At 39.0% G+C, this 13,039-nt stretch overlaps 1 long non-coding RNA gene across 1 annotated transcript in view; it reads right to left on the bottom strand.

Moving 5' to 3' along the window:
* Positions 1 to 13,039, bottom strand: part of LINC02615 (long intergenic non-protein coding RNA 2615) — a 91,383-nt gene that overhangs the window by 25,934 nt on the left and 52,410 nt on the right. Inside the window, exons 5-6 of the long non-coding RNA NR_125882.1 lie at positions 11,715 to 11,792; positions 9,978 to 10,136 (exon numbers count right to left, since the gene is read on the bottom strand). This is a non-coding gene — a long non-coding RNA (long intergenic non-protein coding RNA 2615). The remainder of the gene's footprint in view (positions 1 to 9,977; positions 10,137 to 11,714; positions 11,793 to 13,039) is intronic.

The raw sequence follows: 13,039 nt of genomic DNA, 5'->3' as shown, positions 1-13,039 counted from the left end.
GAACCAAATTTCTAAGCTCTATCAACTTTCTCTCTGTCATTTCTTCAAATCAGATTTAATGAGGATGTCAGATGACTGAACTGCCTCATAAGTTCACTCAGTGTTCATTAAGCCTTGCACATCTCCTACAACTCCAAAGCCTGGAGTGAGCATAGGCTCAAGGTCAATAGCTTGGGCTTTAGAATTTACTAGCCATGTGGCCCTGGGAAAGTAACATAACCTCTCAGTACTTTATTTTCTTCATCCATAAAATGGGATAATAACTACCTTACAGTATTGTTGCAAGGATTAAATGCATATAAAAATGTTTAAAAGAGTGCCTACAACATCACGTGTTCTCAATAATTTTTAGCTGCTCTTATTATTACCTTTTGACAACGCAATGTTCCTTAATACATGCAAGCACAAAGTCTATGGGAACGTGTGCCGCTAGGAGGAAAAGATGAAACCCAAATGTGCACACAGAGCAAAGACAGGAATGTATGAAACAACAACACATGCTTGCTGCAGGCTGCATCCAGTCAGCTAAACTGAGATGAGCTTCACGTTCTTCCATGGTTGGCCTACACCATTAGCCCCTGCTGGCAAATGGGAAGTGCTCACGATAAAGCAGACTGAATGGCAGCATGCGGGTGGACCAGCACAATCCATCCCCACTACTGGACCAGGAGCCTGGACTGCATTCTCTGCTGTCCCTGAATTAGAGCACTTAGGATGTCATACACTGTTAACAGGTTCTAAGAGTTCTAGGGGTTTAAGAGAAAGAATGAAGGGCATAGCGGAAGAGCTAGCATTGAGGGAATCTCTGTGAAGTGGTCTTTAGCTGCATTTCAAAGGCAGGTGGGAAGCGGACTTGGGAAGAAGTGAGCAGAGCTTTCCAGATGGGAGAAATAGGATTTGTGTGCCCCTGGGTGTGAAGTTTGGAGAAGCCCACATTGGAGAAGGCCAATAGTGCTGCCAGGAATAAAAAGCATGAAATCAGGTGTAGCAGCAGGTATAGCCAGTAATCGCCAGGGAAGATTTTTGTCTCTTTTTGCCAATTTCCAGAGAAATAATCTCTGCAACCGGGTGTTCTTTGTTGTTAGGTTAGCTCCCTTTTAGGATTATATTTAGACTTTTTTTTTTCTTTTCTTAGAAAACCTCAAATGATTACAACTTTCACAGAATGTTTAAGTAGGTCACAAAAAAACAAGGAATGCTTTTTCCCACTCAAATAGATCCCTGAAACTCTAGGTTCTAGAGAACTGGATGCTAATTTCCTCATTCTCCCAGGGGGACAGAATGACAAATTCTACCTGCCTCACTTCCATCTTCCTCCACCTCCACTCCATTTAAAGGCTCCCAGTTCACTGTTCAGTAAAAGGAAGGAGGATTTTCTCAGAAACCAATTCTCTAGGTGAAAGAAACCTAGGTGAGGATTTCCAAAAGCTAAAGACTTCTCACAGAAGTCAGGTCATTTTATATTGCTCTAGAAAGATAACCAAGGGGATTGAAGGGATATTACTATAGAGAAAAACAATAACATTTAAAACCTCAAACCCCACTAAATTCCTTATATGACAACAAATAGTGATGCTTAATATTTTTTGCCATGGCTCAATAGTTAGATGCAAACCTCAACTCAGTCACAGAACTCTTTCATCCATGCTACTCATACAGAAAAGAGAAAAATGATGGAAAATTTTCTAGCAAGGATTTTGTTTTCCTTTTTAAAGTTTATCCTGGAGTTGAGGGAGAACTTGGAAACAAGATTCTGATTAAGAAGTTATCCTCATTGGGACAGGGACCTCCTAAGACACTCTTCCACAAGCTATCAGCACATGCTTTACACATTGTGAAGTCATGGCTTTCTCACGTCTTCATCTGATTCCTAATTCTTTTTCTCATCTAGGAAAATGTTGCCAGGGATTTTCACTGAATGTCATTTTCACTGAAGAGGTCCCAATTAAGAATTTTTGGATCTCGGACTGAAAAACTTTCCAAGATAATTATTATAATCCAGGGCTTCAAAGGAGCAGAAATTCAAAGGAATGGAAAGAATTTCAGTAGATAATCTACAGGATGGCTGCCACTGATCCTCCCCTCGTCCTGCACTCCTGGCTTTGCCCTTTCCCTGTGAGCTTATTGCTGAGAATCTGTTAGGCATTTCAGCAAAGGTCATGGCATTTATGACAGCTTAATATAGAGCATAAAGCGGAAAAAAGGTTGACTCCAAGGCTGCAAGCCCAAGAGAAAAAGAGAATAGAGTAGAGATATAGGCAAGGGAAGGGAAGATGATGAGTGGCAGTTGGGAATTTGAGACTAAAGAGAAGGTGTGAAATGCAGTTTCAATGATAGAGTAACAGTTAAAGCCTTGAGATAAAAAAGTTGGCACGTGCATCTACGTACACACACAGATATACCCCTATGTTCAAGGCCTGGGTTTTGGGGGTAATCAGGAGTAGGAGGAAAAAAAGAAGAAATAGAAGGACACAGTGAAGATAGGTTAGAAAGGCAGGAGGAAAAATTCCAAGATGTTCCAAAAGGCAAGATAATATTTTACTATGGGGCAAACATTAAACAAAAGAAAGCTGGTGACAAAGTATTAATATCATACAAAGTAATCCTAAAGGCAAAATGCATTGTTCCAGGTAAGAAAGTCATTATATGATGACAAAAGTCAATTCACGAGGAAGATATCACAATCCTCAACTTGTATGCAATGAATAACACAGTCTCGAAAATAAATAAAGTAATAATTGAAATAACTTCAAGGAAAATAAACATTCTATTATCAATCATAGTGGGAGATTTTTACACACTTTTCTCAGTAAATGACAATCCTAATATCAGTAATGTCATAAAAATATCTCTAATTGTGGTGTTTAACTATTGAATTCCAAATTTTTAATAGTAGTCTTTAATATTTTTACCTTAGTTATCTTCCTCCTATTTGAACATTTCCAACTTGAAACATGAGTTCTGGTCAAACCAGTTCACCAAACATGTTTTCTTCGTCTCACTTTTATTTCTCACCTTAAGTTATATCCCCTAGCTGAAATGTTCTCTCCCTTCAGTAGACTTTTCCCCTGCAATTGTGAGAGAGGTTGAAGCAAGACTGGCATAAATAGACTTCTGGATCACAGGACGGAAGGAGTACAAAGATACGTGGGCCTCAAACACAATGCCTCAGCTTCCCCAGGAAAATTGTGTTTGTTTCTAGATCTCCCTTCTGGTCAAGGGCCACTCATTTAAAGCAGTGTCCAAGAACTCAGCCTGGACCAAGCTTTGGAATAACAATCTATGTAGTATGGACAGCAAGAAAGACCAGAAGTCAATTGTGTCTTCTCTTTTCAGGAGAAAGCCAGTGGTCTGGGAAGGCAAATCACCTGGGGCTGGCTGAATGAAGCAAGGAGAAAAAAAGTGTCTGAGATATCATGCCAAAACCTGACAAACAAAGGAGAAAACAGAGAATAAGCTGAAGGTACCAGTGAGTGAATGAGAAATAGGAGATTAGTGAGAAGCTGAGATACAAGTTGAGTCTGGTGGAGATTAAGTCTAACAACTTATATTGTCAAGTTTTAGATCTGGTGTTTTGATCCTACCTCTTTGGCATTTAAGGACACAGGAATGACTCAGTATCTTGGGATAGACCCCTGGCATTCTGCCTTTTCTGTCAGGCAAGCCTTTATCAGAATCTAGGCACGCTTTAAACACAAGGCATGCAGAAAGAGGTATACCGCTTCCCTTTCTGTCTCCTGTAGTTGTGATACACCTGCAAATAGTCAATACATATAAAGGAAAAAGTCATGATAAAGATAATGCTCTGGGCCAGGCCTGGTGGCTCACACCTGTAATCCCAGCACTTTGGGAGGCCAAGTCAGATGGATCACCTGAGGTCAGGAGTTTAAGACCAGCCTGGCCAATATGGTGAAACCTCGTCTCAACTGAAAATACAAAAATTAGCCAGGCATGGTCCCAAGAGGTAGAGGTTGCAGTGAGCAGAGATTGCGCCACTGCACTCCAGCCTGGGCAACAGAGCAAGACTTTGTCTCAAAAAAAAAAAAAAAAAGATAATACTCTGTCTGCAACTCCTCCTAAGGGCAAGAAAGGAAGATGAGTAAATCACCTTCCCATATGAACCTATGGTTCTGGTCCCGTTATGATTGTCGACAGTTTATAGAAAAATATAAATAATTCAAAGCTAAGTGTCAACTGATAGCTTTAATAAATGCATAATTTCACAGCATGGAAGCTTTGTTGTTTGCTCATATCACTTGCTGTCTAGAACTAAAACAGCAATAATAATATATCTGACATGTAAGATATACCCTTAAATAGAAATAGCAAAAACCCACATGATGTCAAAGGAGGCTCTTTTTCAAACAGCCAAAAAGCCATGAAAATCAATGAGCCCTGGAGTAGCTCCACCCTTGAGATCCTGTCTAAGAATCAGAAGATATTTAATAAATTGTGCGTTTTATCTCACATAAAAGAAACACACATAGACGGTCTACCCCTTAAGAGGCTCAGCAAAGCTCAGGCCAGAAAAACAAATTCACTCAGGTTCAGGTTGAGGCTGCCACCAGCATAGACAACCAGGAAAGGGTTATTGAAAAGGCTAAGGAAACTTTTAATGTTAAGAGCCTCTACTTTTTAGAGTACTGTGAAAGCTCTGCTGAAAAGAAACAAACATAGCAAGAGCAAGTAGAAGTGATATCAATAATATTAGGGATAACAGCAGCTGCTGAGGAGTTTCCCCATATTGTGGCTGACCAAGAGGGGTCTTACTGCTGTTAAAAAGACAGGGGATGAGATTCAACAGTGAGTTCAATAATCTTCATTTGGGTTCACCTGAAAGTAAGACTTAGCACCAGACTCTACATTATAAAGAATTTCCTGGTCCATCAGGGTTTCCATGTAAATAAAAAAAAAAAATTCTGTTTTAATACTTGGATGTCTCCTGAGGTCAAAGACTGAAGTTCAGGTTCTTTCTTGGTGTAATGCCAGTTTTCCATCCTCTTTAAGCCAGACTCTGTGTTGTTTTTCTAATTTACACAATAAAATGCTGTTTGTTGAAAGAAGATCACTAGAGGGTTTGTGGGAGCCCCTCAAATACTTCATTCAATTTTAATGGGGTACTTGACATCCCACAAAGTTCACACACATGAGGAAGAGATTGCACAGTGCGAACTGGTGAAAAAATCCATTGCCTACTCCTCCAGGAGCATGCTGATAACATGAGGTGACTAGTACATGATACGTTTCATAGGACAGCTTTGCAAATGGTCATGCCTTTCTGCACAAAACAAATTAAAACATAATCATAACCCCAGTACCACTGTTATCACTGGGTGGCATTCTTCGTGATTAAATGTATATCACATTCTTTGTAGGCATGCCAGGGTAAAAGCTGCCAAATTCACAATGGCAATTTATTTCAAGTTTTCAAAATAAAAGTTATGTATCAAAAACATTTTTTTAATGTATCAACTTTTTATTTTTTCCCATGCACTTATTTGATGCAGTTTATTAGCAAAATTGACATTGTCTTTGGATGTCCATAACACTGGCTATAAAATGGGATAATTATATCTAGACAACATATCTAAAAGGTTTAATATTTTAGCTACACTTTGACAATTTCCGTGGTTTGAATGTGCTAATTTTTATAATATTGTCTCAGAGGTTCATTTTTTTTTTCTTTCCAACTTTTATTTTAGGTTCAGGGGGTACATGTGCAGGTTTGTTACATAGGTAAATTGCGTGTCATGGGGGTTTGGTGTACAGATTATTTCATTACCCAGGCAACGAGCACAGTACCCAATATGTAGTTTTTCAGTCCTCACTCACTCCTGCACTCCACCCTCAAATAGGCTCCAGTGTTTATTACTTCTTGTGTCCATGTGTATTCATCATTTAGCTCCCACTTATAAGTTAGAACATTCAGTATTTATTTTTCTATTCCTGCATTAATTCATTTATGATAATGGCCTCCAACTCCACCCATGTTGCTACAAAGAACAGGATTTCATTCGTTTTTATGGCTGCATAGTATTCCTTAATGTATATGTAACGCATTTTCTTTATCCAGTCTGCCATTGATGGGCATTTAGAATGATTCCACGTCTTTGCTGTTGTGAATAGTGTTGCGATGTGCAGGTGTCTTTATGGGAAAACAATTTATATTCCTTTGGATATATACCCAGTAATGGGATTGCTGGGTCAAATGGTAGTTCTGTTGTAAGTTCTTTGAGATATCTCCGAACTGCTTTCCACAGTAGCTGAACTAATTTACATTCCCAAGAGCAGTGTATAAGCATTCCCTTTTCTCCACAACCTCACCAGCATCTGTTATTTCTTTGCTTTTTTTTTTTTTTTTTTTTTTTTTCTGAGATGGAGTCTTGCTCAGTCACCCTGGCTGGAGTGCAATGGCACAATCTCAGCTCACTGCAAGCTCCGCCTCCTGGGTTCACGGAATTCTCCTGCCTCAGCCTCCCGAGTAGCTGGGATTACAGGTGCCCGCCACCACGCCCGGCTAATTTTTTGTATTTTTAGTAGAGATGCGGTTTCACTGTGTTAGCCAGGATGGTCTCGATCTCCTGACTTCGTGATCCACCTGCCTCAGCCTCCCAAAGTGCTGGGATTACAGGCATGAGCCACTATGCCCAGCCTTCTTTGCTTTTTAATAATAGCCATTCTGGCTGGTGTGAGATGGTGTCTCACTGTGGTTGTGATTTGCATTTCTCTAATGATTAGTGATGTTGAGCATTTTTTCATAGGCTTATTGACCACGTGTATGTCTTCCTTTGAAAAGTGTCTATTCATTTCCTTTGCCCATTTTTTATTGGGGTTGTTTGGTTTTTGCTTGTTAATTTATTTAAGTTCCCTATAGATTCTGGATAGTAGACCTTTGTTGGGCGCATAGTTTGCAAGTATTTTCTCTCATTCTGTAGGTTGTCTGTTTACTCTGTTGATAATTTCTTTTGCTGTGCAGAAGCTCTTTAGTTTAATTAGGTCCCATTTATCTATTTTTGTTGTTGTTGTTGCAACTGCTTTTGGAGTCTTTGTCATGAAATCTTTGCCAGGGCCTATGTCCAGAATGGTATTTCCTAGGTTTTCTTCTAGGGTTTTTATAGTTTTAGGTTTTACATTTAAGTCTTTAATCCATCTTGGCTCAATTTTTGCATATGGTAAAAGGGAGGGATCCAGTTTCAATCTTCTGTATGTGGCTAGCCAGTTATCCCAGCATCATATATTGAATAGAAAGTCCTTTCCCCATTGGTTGTTTTCATTGACTTTGTTGAATATCAATTAGTTGTAGGTGTATGGTTTTATTTCTAGATTCTTTAACCTGTTGGTCTATGTGTCTATGTACCAGTACCATGCTGTTTTGGGTACTGTAGCCTTGTAGTACAGTCTGAAGTTGGGTAGTGTGCCTCTGGTTTTTGTTGTTGTTGTTTGGGTTTTTTGTTTTCGTCTGTTTGTTTTGCTTAGAAATGCTTTGGTTGTTCAGGCTCCTTTTGGTTCCACATGAATTTTAGAATAGTTTTTTTTTAATTCTATAAAAAATGTTATTGGTAGTTTGATAGAAATAGCACCAAATCTGTAAATTGCTTTGGGCAGTGTGGCCATTTAACAATATTGATCCTTCCTATCCATGAGCATGAAATGTTTTTCCATTTGTTTGTCTTCTCTTGATTTCTTTCACCAGTGTTTTATAATTCTCGTAGAGATCTTTTACCTCTCTGGTTAGCTGTATTCCTAGGTATTTTATTCTTTTTGTGGCTACGGTGAATGAGATTGTGTTCCTGACTTGGTTCTCACCTTGGACATTGTTGGTGTATAGAAATGCAGCTGATTTTTGTGCATTGATTTTGTATCCTGAAACTTTGCTAAAGTTGTTTATATGTCTAGGAACCTTTGGGCAGAGACTATGGGATTTTCTAGGTATCAAATCATGTTATATTCACAAAAGGAGTTTAATTTCCTCTCTTCCTATTTAGATGCCTTTTCTTTCTCTTATCTGATTGCTCTGGCTAGGACTTCCAGTACTATGTTGAATAGGACACATTCTTATCTTGTTCTGGTTCTCAAGAGGAATACTTCCAGCTTTTGCCCATTCAGTGTGATGTTGGCTGTGGGTTTGTCATAGACGGCTCTTATTATTTTGAGGTATGTTTCTGTGATGTCTTGTTTGTCAAGGGTTTTTAACATGAAGGGATGTTGAATTGTATCAAAAGCCTTTTCTGCATCTATTGAGATGATCATGTGGTTTTTGTTTTTAGTTCTGTTATATTAAGTTACAAGTCAAATCATTATGGAATGTCCAAATATTCTCCCAACACTCTAGTTTAATGGTGTTGAATATCATTCAAAATAAATAGGCCATTTCCTAAATATTTTGAAATCTATTCTTAAGGTTTCAACTTACTGTAAAGAAACCTAATATATGAAAAGCCAGATTTACAGAAAAGATAAATTGGAGAGGGGATGTTATTTACATTTTCTTATGGAGTTTACCACAGGATTCCTTCACAGCAAATCCCTGTGATGAAATGGAGAACCCACAACTCTCAAGTGGGGTTCCTACCCCTAGGTGCTTTGAGGAGTTTTCGTCTATCAACTTTTGAGGGATCAAAGAGAAGGATTTATTACTTTGGCAAAGAGTGAACTTTTCTCAGCCTTTCCTCTCTGACTGCCAGGATCTGCATTTAAGAGCACGTCCAAGAGTCTGAAGCAGGTAAGCCACCAATCTTTGCACTCTGTGTGAGGAAGGGCACCACTGTCAGTTTTCCACAACCTTGGGTCTTCTGTTCTCAGCCTTAGGTAAGAGCTATTCTTTTCTCAGCCACTGGCCTCACCAGCATTACCAGGGCCAAGACTTTCTCACGGTGTTAGGCACACACCTTCTTCTCAATGGAATCTACACCTCATGGAAAGAATATGAGTGTTGGATTCTGAATCCCAGTCCTGGCTCCATCACTTAATAGCCAAGTGACTTCAATATTCTAGAGCTCCCATTTTTCCATTAATAATGGGGTTGACAATATCCAATTCATTGAAAAGTGAGAGGATAGGTTAAATGTTGGTAAATCATCCAGTGTTGGGCCTCATATGTAACAGATTAACAAATGGGAGCTTTAATGATGACAGCAATTATCCTGGATGTTTCCTAATGGTCTCTTCTTTCTCTTGTCGAGTTTTGTTTGCTTCCTTGTTTTCTTATCTGCTTTTAATGTTCTTCTAGTAGGCTTTCAGTTGATCTAGAGGTCCTTTTTCTTAACCTGCATTTACCCACATGTCTTACTCTCCTTCTTCACCAGCTAGCTCAGTGGGTCAGAATTCCCATCCTCCTCAACAGAAATCATCACTACTTTTTCCTAAACCCCATCTGGAGCCAGACACTATTTTCATAGAACAATAGTACATCTGCTTGTCATTACAGTTCAGCTCCCCTGGCCCCAGCCAGGCTGAACAGGATGCCAAACCCACAATGACTTCTCAGGAAAAGGGACTCTGTCAAAGAGCTCCTCTGTACATTGAAAGTAAAATTTGATTTATAAAACCCTCACTACACAGGTAACTTTCAGGAACAAATCTGCGGTTCTTGAAAGGTAAGGCTCGTAGGTTTAAAAAGAAGTTCTAAACAATATTTGTCCTTATACTGAGCCTTTGTCTGGATAGGAAAGGGGACAGGAATAAAGGTAACTAACACTTATTGTCTATTTTGTGTCTTAGTGCTGTGCTAAGTGTTTTGCAACCATTATGTTATTTAATTTTCATAACTATCCTCATAAAATAATTATCCTCACTTTACAGTGAGAAAACTGAGATTCCAACAGGTTAGCCTAAGGAATAAAGCTAGTCAGTGGCAGAACCAAGACAGAAATTCAAGCCTGTCTTACCGATACAGAGTGATATCTCATGATAGAGAATGCTTTATGACATGTAAAACACAATAAAACACGTTCTTTCTGTTGGCTTAAATATTTTACCTGGTACTTTGGATCACTGGAGGCTGAAGACCCTCCTATAGGCAGCAGTGAGAACACTCTTGACACCTTCGGCATGCAGGTGGCTGCAATACTCTGGGGTTGCATAAAGTCTTAAGGATCAGTCTGATCCCTTTCTCATCGCAGAAAGCTCCTAATTGCCTGGTGGGGAGATTTTTGATTCAGCTCTTATAGTTATACAGAAAGCACTAAACCTGCTGACTACAAATTAATCCTCTTTTCCTGGAACTGTGCATGGACAAAGGCATGGAAAGACAATGGCTTCCACCATTCAGAGGTGAACAAGCAACAGACCAGCTGGGCAGTGGCCCAGGACTCCAGCCTTTTGTGAGTACTATAGCATGATTGGAAGCTCAAGTTCCACTGGAAATATAACTTGAGAGTGCAGAAAATTACATTTATCAGGCCTCCTCTCAGGGAGTGTATGTGGTGGAAAGGGATGCTTTAATAATCTGCTTGGGTTAAGAGAAAGAGACCGCCAAAGGGTGTGATAACGTTACGGCTGATGAGTCCTCAACTGTGTTCTAAGGAGGTAAGGTCGGGATGGCAACAGGGCTCTTCTTTGGTAGAGTGTGGTCTGTATATTTGGATCCAGAGCTGGACTACACAGGACAGGCTGAACACTGTCACCCAGCGTTTGTTCATTCATTCATTCATTCAGTCAGTCAGTCAGTCAGTCAGTCAATACATATGTTTTGAGTGATTATTATTAATATATGTTCTGTTTGAGGTACTGGGGATAAAACAGTGCACAAAACGGCAAAAAAAAGACCTCAGCCTTTTTTTTTTTGAGGTTTTCTCATTTTTTTCCAGCTTTATTGAGATCTGCTAAATGAATATTGAAAAATACTTAAACTTATCTCATGCCCCCAAAGTAGCTAACTAAGCAAAACGCACAATGCCCTTCATGTTATAGACTAAAAATGAGCCACATAATATAACCAGCAATGTTTTCAAAATGGTTGAAATTGAAAGACAGGCTATCCCAGGTATCAGAAATGCAAAGGAAACATAAAACTGAAGTGGTAACGGTGGCCCAGGGAGGAGACTGGAATAACTACAGAGCCTCATCTGTTAAGTGGTAGGTTTTTAGTATGATGAGTGTCAAGAGACATGGCCTTGGGCTCATGTGAAATAGAGAGCCAGAACTGAAACTCCTAAATAAAGCTGATATGTCAAAGTTACACACCCACAATGAAAGGGATTAAAACATCTGTGCATCAGACCAGGGAAGTGACACATAAGCAAAGGAGTGTGTCTCTTCCTAGAGATTTTGGGTGAAAAATCAAAAATCCAGGCCTGTGCTTTGTCCAGGTTGGGAGTCCAAATTTATGTCAAAAGATGCTAGAAATTAATACAAAAACTGGTTCCAGACTGGCACATAGCAGAAGCAAATCCAAACCATTCTCTAGGGCACACAGACTTTATAGAAAACAACCCTGCTGAAGATGAGCTCACAAAGCACATGCAGAAATAATCTACCTTGAGAGAGAATGAGTCAGCAGACTTAAAAATGGGGAGAATTAGCAGGCCCAAAGAGTTGAGATAGTAAAATAATGTGCAACAATCTATAAAATAAGAATGTTTTTAAAAATTAAAGAGAGGAATGAGTTAAAACTGTAAGAAAAATACTGAATACTATGGGGAGAAAGTTAAGATTATCAGTTTGTTGATGTGTCAAATGACTAACCTGTCATGAATACCAGAATATTTACCTACCTTGAGTGCCCACATGTCTGAGTTTAACTCTGCTTCCATTTTATGATTCCGTAATTCCTCATCACATTTAGAAAAGAACTATTGGGCAACACAAAGAGCAGAATTAGGAGTATTTTATTAATGTTTTAAAAACTCAGTTCAATGTATTCATCTTTTGTTTGAATAACAGAGGACACCAAGAAAAAAAGACATCGATGGCATTTATCTATTGTGAGTCGGAATGAAGGTTAAGTTTTTAAAACAAAGAACTCCCAAAATACAGAGGTTTAAATAAGATACATATTTCTTCCACTCCTAAATAATAGTCGGGCAAGCCTATCTTGGCAGGGCAGCTCTGCTCCACCAGGTCATTCAAGGATCCAGGTTCCTTCCAACTCATTTCTCTACTATGCCCCAAGGCATTTTACTTAATCTTCATGTCAAAGCTGGGTCTCAAAAGGGTCTGTTTCACTTCAGACCAGATCAAATGGGAGCACAGTCCTGTTTTTTAGGCTAAGGTGTGGAAATGGCACATATTGTTTCCACTATCATTGCTTGGCCTGACCTCAGTGACATGGCCTCATCCAATTAAAAGCGTACCTGGAAAATATAGTTTTTAGCTGAGTAATCATGTGTCCAGATAAAATTCTATTACTCTGGAAGAAGGGGAAAATGAATTTGTAAATCATCTAGCAGTGTGTCAAATCTGTAATTCTAGCAAATATTGGGGAGGAAGTAGTTAACTAAGTTTTAAAAAATATATGTTTTAGCCTATCAGTCAATCACAACTCTTTGTCAAAGTCCTGCTATTAGCTCAGCATTGTGAGTAGAAGAAACAAAAAAATGAGGTGGCAATCTAAATAGAAAAGACTATTCACATACATTAATTGAAATAGGATTTTTTAAAGTATGCGATTAAGTGCTTAATTGTAAAGATCCATTTCTAATTCCAGGTCTATATTTTCTTCCACAGTCTTCCAACATGATACTTTCACATGTGACTTTTCCTAAAACTTGTTTCATGTGACACCCCCAAGCCAGAAACCTGAAAGTCACACTGACTTCTCTCTCTCTCTTCCTCCCACCGCATAATCAGAATGTCATCCATTTCTATTGGTTCTACCAACAAAATACCCACTCATCTCTCTTCTTGCTTCTTTTCTAGCTCAAGCTCTCATAATTATTGCTTGCAAGGATTATTGCACAGATCTTAAAAGCTTCCATTCTCTCTCCCCTTCAAACTATCCTGTATATTGTTTTTTGAGTGATCTTTCTAAAACAGGTTTATCCATCTGTCTATCTATTGTCTACTTTGTGCCAGGCACTGTCCTAGGTGTTTGAGATTC

Source organism: Homo sapiens, chromosome 4, assembly GCF_000001405.40.
Source record: "Homo sapiens chromosome 4, GRCh38.p14 Primary Assembly".
In the NCBI taxonomy this organism is placed as follows: Eukaryota; Metazoa; Chordata; class Mammalia; order Primates; family Hominidae; genus Homo; species Homo sapiens.
The sequence above is the reverse complement of the archived record's forward strand: the minus strand, read 5'-3'. Positions and strand labels throughout refer to the sequence as shown.